Raw genomic sequence first — 7,480 nt, forward strand, 5'->3', positions numbered from 1 at the left:
CATGTAAGATTCCTGCCTTCTGCATAAACATCCTGTGTGTGAAAGATTGGTATATGGCAGAAGGATCAGCTGGGTACACAGAGGAGCATGGTGGGGAGCTAAAGGGAGGGCACAACAACGAGGGGATGGCATTATGGCTGTTTTATAGATCAGGAAACTGAGGCTCAGAGAGGTTTCATCACTTGTCCCAGGCCACACAACTCTTCTTTGGACCAAGGTCTGTATTTTCGAGATGTACATGCTTCTACCACATCACTCACTTCTGCAGAGTACCTTATAGTGGTTCATCATATCAATCTTGCCTTATACTATCACGTGGAATGAGTTTTCTACACCGAGTGCTAACATTTCTCAACCCCAACCTCAAATCTGTGAAGCTAACCAGGTTCCCTAATAGGCATAAGAAAGAAACTGAGAAGAGGAAAGGAAAATCACAAAGCCTCAACCACTGTTCTTGGAGGAAGGTATGGAGAAGGGGAAATTTATGAGGCAGTAACAAGTCAGAAGGCATTTCAATAATTAGTTAGTTAAATTGGGGTAAAATACACAACAGGATTTACCATCTTAACAATTTTTAAGTGTATAGCTGAGTAACATTAAAATACATTCACATAATTGTGCAGCCATCACCACCTTTCATCTCTAGAACACCTTTCATTGCCCCAAACTGAAACTACCATGAAACACTAACTCCATATTCTTCCTCCCCCTGCAGTCCCTGGCGGCCACCATTCTACTTTCTGTCTCTATGAATTTGACTATTCTAGGTACTCTAGGTGCTGTATAAGTGGACTTACACAATATTTTTATTTCTGTGACTTAGTATGTCACTTAGCATATTCAGTCCCATTTTATAATGTAGCTGACTGTTCTGAGGGCTTGTTGATGTGCTTAACCCTGGGACCCTTTAATCAGAACCCTGGGACATGACAAGTCTGCACAAGCAGATGTAGACATCAGGCACTCTTTAGGCATAGGAGATGTAGTGGAAGCATGTACATTTTGAGAAACACAGATCTGGGCTCAAATAAGAGCTGTGTGGCTTTGGGCAAGTGGCTGGACCTCTCTGAGTCTCAGTTTTTTTCTTATCTATAAAATGTCCTCTGATTTTTCTTGTGAGCATTCAATCAGCATGTGCTAGATCAGCAAAAACACTTCAAGGCCGCAACACTACAAAATCGAGGCTTATGTTGGGAATAACATCAAGCAGCTGATATTTGCTGTTTTGTTCACTTGTCTCAGAACATGTTTTGGGGAAAACCAAGGGAGAGAACAAACTCAAGAGGGAGCAGGATGATGATAGTCCTCAGGCCTGGGAAGGATGTTTCTAATGATTGAGGAGAGTTCTTTGATTTCTGTGATTCCAGGCTGTCAGCTCCTGTGCTTTAAAATATGGTTGCTACAAACAATGTGACTGAAATAATTTTCGTGGGATTTTCCCAGAATTGGAGTGAGCAGAGGGTCATTTCTGTGATGTTTCTCCTCATGTACACAGCTGTTGTGCTGGGCAATGGCCTCATTGTGGTGACCATCCTGGCCAGCAAAGTGCTCACCTCCCCCATGTATTTCTTTCTCAGCTACTTATCCTTTGTGGAGATCTGCTACTGTTCTGTCATGGCCCCCAAGCTTATCTTTGACTCCTTTATCAAGAGGAAAGTCATTTCTCTCAAGGGCTGCCTCACACAGATGTTTTCCCTCCATTTCTTTGGTGGCACTGAGGCCTTTCTCCTGATGGTGATGGCCTATGACCGCTATGTGGCCATCTGCAAGCCCTTGCACTACATGGCCATCATGAACCAGCGAATGTGTGGTCTCCTCGTGAGGATAGCATGGGGCGGGGGCCTGCTGCATTCTGTTGGGCAAACCTTCCTGATTTTCCAGCTCCCGTTCTGTGGCCCCAACATCATGGACCACTACTTCTGTGATGTCCACCCAGTGCTGGAGCTGGCCTGCGCAGACACCTTCTTCATTAGCCTGCTGATCATCACCAATGGCGGCTCCATCTCCGTAGTCAGTTTCTTCGTGCTGATGGCTTCCTACCTGATCATCCTGCACTTCCTGAGAAGCCACAACTTGGAGGGGCAGCACAAGGCCCTCTCCACCTGTGCCTCTCATGTCACAGTTGTCGACCTGTTCTTCATACCTTGCTCCTTGGTCTATATTAGGCCCTGTGTCACCCTCCCTGCAGACAAGATAGTTGCTGTATTTTATACAGTGGTCACACCTCTCTTAAACCCTGTGATTTACTCCTTCAGGAATGCTGAAGTGAAAAATGCCATGAGGAGATTTATTGGGGGAAAAGTAATTTGAGAAGAGAAGTAGATGATTTAGTTAGGGAAAATAGGAGGAGTAAGGGATGGGAAATTGGGGCATGTAAGATCTCACTCTGCATCTACCTTGCCCAATGGAGTGAGTGGCCTTGGGCCAGTCACCTTTTTTGAAGTTTCAGTTTCCTCATCTTATGGGATTGGACAAGATTAAAGGGAGCTCTAGGATGGAGTAAGAGGGGTCTTCTAGTGCTGTGCTTCCAAATCTGACAGTGGCTTTGAGATATATTGGTTGGTCTAAAGAGAATAAACTCTTCCAGAAAACCAGGTCAGTCTGGGAATGGTGAAGAGGGAGGTGAGGATTGAGAATGACTGTTTCAGGGAGCACTGGTCATTATGTCCTATCAGTTTGAACATTTGCATGATTGGAAAGTCTCTTGACTTGACATACTGAGGTTTTGCTGAGAGGGTTTTAAGCAGGCAAGCTGACTGAGAAGGGTTAGTCCTGAGAATGGAAGACGTTGACTCTTGTCAAGAGATTCACATGAGCTCATGCTAGCATTAGACTCAGGGTTCTCAAGAATCCAAAAGAACAACAGGGAAATTTTAAGCAAATTGAAGGCACTGCTGTCCCATATTTTAACCTTCTTCTTTGAGTCTTATTCCAGTAGCCACCAGACTATAAGAATGTGCCCAGAACCCTAACCCTAATCCTGCCCCTCACTGCCATCAGATAAATTTTCTTCCACATGCTTTCAGACTCATCACCTTCAAGCAGTTCTCTGATTTCATCACTCTCCTCCTCAAAAATCTTCAATGACTCCCCATTGCCTTCTGAATCAACTATAAATTCCTACTTGATATGAAATACCCTCAAGTCATGACCTTCTCATAATGTTAGATTTTCATTTTTCAATTACACTATTAGAGCATACTGTTTTCTGAACATCTCCTTGTGCCCTCCACCTATAATATTTTCCTTATCTCTACCTATTAACATCCTACCTACCCTCCATGGCCCATCTGAAATTCTCCTATCTTTAGGAAGCCCCCATGTTTATCTTATCTGGGTATGTCATTTTCTTTCTTTGAATTCTCACAGCACTCAGTGGGAATCCTTTAGGGCTGTTACTACCTTTATTTCAAAGTTTATTTCTCCCCAGTAGACTGTGACTCCTTTGAGAATGTGGCTTGAATTTTATTCATCTGTGTATCTCTAAATAGCAAAACAATAAATATTTGGTCAATTAAATTTCTGGATGTCATTAGCACTTCAGATTGTAGGTGGACAATGGTTGTTATATCTCTCATTTCATGTAAATAATCTAAGTAATATATCAGTCACATCACTCAAGACAAACCAGTAATCCTTCCTGATATTGTTTCTGAGAATATCATTTATATATAAATAAGGAGCATATATGTATTTGTATTTTTTACAATGAACTAAGAGATTTAATGATTTATCTAACTTGATTCTAAAACACACTGGTGAAGTGGGTATGAGTACAGAAGAAGAGATTGGAGATTGGGGAGGCAGGTGTCTTGATCAAGGTCACCGGTTAGTAACCCATGAAGCCTGAATTCAAACCTAGCTGTGTCTGATTTCTCAGCCCATGCTCTTCTCTGCTTCTCTTTAAATGTCACCACACATAAGTATATGTAAGTCTCTGAATTTCAAATCTGAGGGCTGAGAATATCCTATTGTCAGGTAATTCCCTCTGGAATTACTTCAGATTAAATAAAAAGTGTTTTAAAAAATATAAACCTGAAATGCTTTTTGGGTGTTCACAGGTATTTCTGGGTCCACAGAGATCCAGTGGCCAGGATACTGGATCTGGAAGTAGAGGGAAGGAAAGCAGGGGCTATGATGCTTCTGCAGGTGAGGCTCCTTGGTCCTCAGGAGGAAAAAACCTGGGCATTGACTGGGTTAGGGTGGGTCATATGTTGCTCAGGTAATTTTATGTTTCTACAGATTTTTTGGGTGAAGAGTGGCCTAAGGCCTGACATCAAAACTCAATGAGCTGGCCAAGACAAGTTTTTTTTTTTTTTTTTTTTGAGACAGAGTTTCATTCTTATTGTTCAAACTGGAGTGCAATGGCACGATCTTGGCTCACTGCAACCTCTGCCTCTGGGGTTCAAGCGATTCTCCTGCCTCAGCCTCCTGAGTAGCTGGGATTACAGGTGCGCACCACCATGCCCAGCTAATTTTTTTGTATTTTTAGTAGAAACGGGGTTTCACTATGTTAGCCAGGCTGGTCTTGAAATCCTGATGCCAGGTGATCCACCCACCTTGGCCTTCCAAAGTGATGGGATTACAGGTGTGAGACACCACACACAGCCAAGATTGCTTTTTTTTCTAGTGACATAATGCTGGAAAGGCAGCATTCTTCAGAATATCATAGAAATCAGAAAATGGGAAATAAGAGGCAAAAGATTAATATGAATTATGCATCCGCCAATTAAGTTTCCTAACATTTAATTATCAGGACTGCGCTGTCCCATTGGTGGTGCGATTCATTTTGCAGGTGGGGAAACTGCAGGTCAAGGACTGTTTCTAAACCCTCAATGTTTCTTCTACACCAGTTGTTTGTGAACTATGTAGGATTCAGTGTCCAGAATTCTGCAGGTATCTGAGGGACTGGGGTAAAAGCAGAGCAGGAAAGGACAGGAGACATATGAATGGGTAATCAGCAGCTGATTACCTTAAAAAAATCTGTTTTATATAAGATTTACTTTGATAAAAAATACTCAAAACCTTAAAAAAGCTTAAAAATCACTATAACATAGCATGCTTATACTTTTAATTTTGATTGGTCATAGCCAAGTCTTCTGTGGGTTGGTTATAGAGGGGCAGACGTTAGGAAATGACCTCTATTTCCAAAAAGGGAAGCAGAATCAAGCCTTCTTCCAAAGTTCCAGTGCCAGAGAGTCAGGCAAGAACCTCCTCAATGACAGTTAAGGCATGCCTCAGAAAATGCAGCATATCCAATGCAGGTGAATGCCCTTGAACATGATACGCTGACCCAGCCAGCTCTGAAATGGCCTCACTTCTTGGGGTGATGCCACACCCAAATTGCATTTTCCATTATGTTTGCAGACTGAATCTCTTTGCCATGAGACTCATAGCATTTAGAGTTTTCATATATATATTTTTGAAAAATTTGTGATTTGCAAAGAACTAAAAGTTCTGCGCTTTATCTATATGTAATGTCAAGAAAACTTGAGTGGAAATTATATTATTATTATTTATTATTTATTTTATTTTATTTTATTTTTCGAGACAGAGATTTTGCTCTTGTCCCCAGGCTGGAATGCAGTGGTAGGATCTCGGCTTACTGCAACCTCCACCTCCCAGGTTCAAGTGATTCTCCTGCCTCAGCCTACTGAGTAGGTGGGATTACAGGGGTGCGCCACCATGCCCGGCTAATTTTGTATTTTTAGTAGAGATGGGGTTTCACCATGTTGGCCAGGCTGGTCTCGAACTCCTGACCTCATGTGATCCACTCACCTTGGCCTCCCAAATTGCTGGGATTACAGGCGTGAGCCACCACAACTTATTTTATTTTATTTTATTTTATTTTATTTTATTTTATTTTATTTTTGAGACAGAGTCTTGCCCTGTCGCCCAGGCTGGAGTGCAGTGGCATGATCTTGGCTCACTGTAACCTTTGCCTCCCAGATTCAAGCGATTGTTGTGCTGCAGCCTCCCAAGTAGCTGGGACTACGGAGGTACACCACCGCGCCTGGCTAATTTTTGTAAGTTTGGTAGAGACAGGGTTTCACCATGTTGGCCAAGCTGGTCTAGAACTCCTGAGCTCAAGTGATCCACCCAGATTCCCAAAGTGCTGGGATCACAGGCGTGAGCCACTGTGCCTGGCCTGGAAGTTATATTATTCCTACATTATTCTGAGAATTCTAGCTGCCCAGGCTTTTTACCAGTATGGAAAGTGATCTCCAGAGACACTTTCCTGTTTCTCTCATTTCTAATCTTTGCTCACATCCATATCAATTGATATTCCTGGGAAGCAGAAGTATCTTAGATAGATGGAGATACGGCTTCTCTCAGAAAAGTCTAAAAAGATAGGTGTTGAGATGAAATGAATATTATAAGTAGTTATCACTGGGTATATCTTCTGGAAACAGTGGCTTTCTCATGGGTGAAAACCTACTTTGGTAATCATATACACGGTTAGAGCTGACATAGTTGCAGCTATCGTATGTAGGGCATCATGACAGGTAGGTATTGGAGGGGGTGTTATTGCCCCTATTTTACATGGAGAATTTACTAAAAAAATGTTGTCTAAAATCACAGAGTAGGTAGAGTGAGGATTTGAATTCACATGGTCTGATTCTGGAATTCATGCTCTTTTTTTAATCATCCCACATTTGCACCATCAGGGAGTCTAGCCCACACCTTCCTTTTAAATGGTAGGAAATTCTTTTAGAATCTTTAGTGCACCTGAAAGTCATTTGCGTTTTAAATCTTTTATTCTATAAAAAAATCCTATAAATCCTTTTCAAGATATGAATTTGGTGACTTTAGGTCATCAAATGACATTCATATTATAAACTTAAGTTGTTTGTAATATTCTCTCTTTATCCTTTATTTTCCGCAGAAATGTAGTGATATCCTTTTGCCTTCCCAGTATTAAAAATTTTTTCTTTTTCATTTGTTTTGTTAATATTTTCAATAGACCATTGTTTCACTTCCTCTAAAATTTTTCTGTTTTTGTTTTCTCTGATTAATATCTGTTAACTTTCCTATATCCTTCCTTCTAGATTGTATGAGGAGTCAGGTAAAAACTTAGCTCATTGATTTTAGACCTCACTTCCTTTCAAATATAAGAATTTAAAACTAGGATGGAACTGGAGATCATTATGTTAAGTGAAATAATCCAGACATGGAAAGACAGACATCACATGTTATGATTATTTGTGGGATCTAAAAATCAAAACAATTGAACTCATGGACATAGAGAGTAGAAGGATGGTTACCAGAGGCTGGAAAGGGTAGTGGGAGAGTGAGGGGGAGGTGGGGATGGTCAATGGGGAAAAAAAGTAGAATAAATGAGACCTACTATTTGATAGCACAATGGGGTTACTATAGTCAATAATAACTTAATTGTATATTTTAAAATAAAGAGTGTAATTGGATTGTTTGTAACTCAAAGGACAAATGCTTGAGGGGACGGGTATCCCATTCTCCATGA

General features: G+C 41.2%; 1 protein-coding gene across 1 annotated transcript; it reads left to right on the forward strand.

Moving 5' to 3' along the window:
• Window positions 1–1,392: 1,392 nt before the first annotated feature.
• On the forward strand, window positions 1,393–2,310 carry OR4X1 (olfactory receptor family 4 subfamily X member 1). The gene has a single exon (NM_001004726.1). It carries the CDS (start codon window positions 1,393–1,395, stop codon window positions 2,308–2,310), a length of 918 nt encoding a protein of 305 aa, NP_001004726.1.
• The last annotated feature ends 5,170 nt before the right edge of the window (window positions 2,311–7,480 follow it).

Source organism: Homo sapiens, chromosome 11 (genome assembly GCF_000001405.40).
Source record: "Homo sapiens chromosome 11, GRCh38.p14 Primary Assembly".
In the NCBI taxonomy this organism is placed as follows: Eukaryota; Metazoa; Chordata; class Mammalia; order Primates; family Hominidae; genus Homo; species Homo sapiens.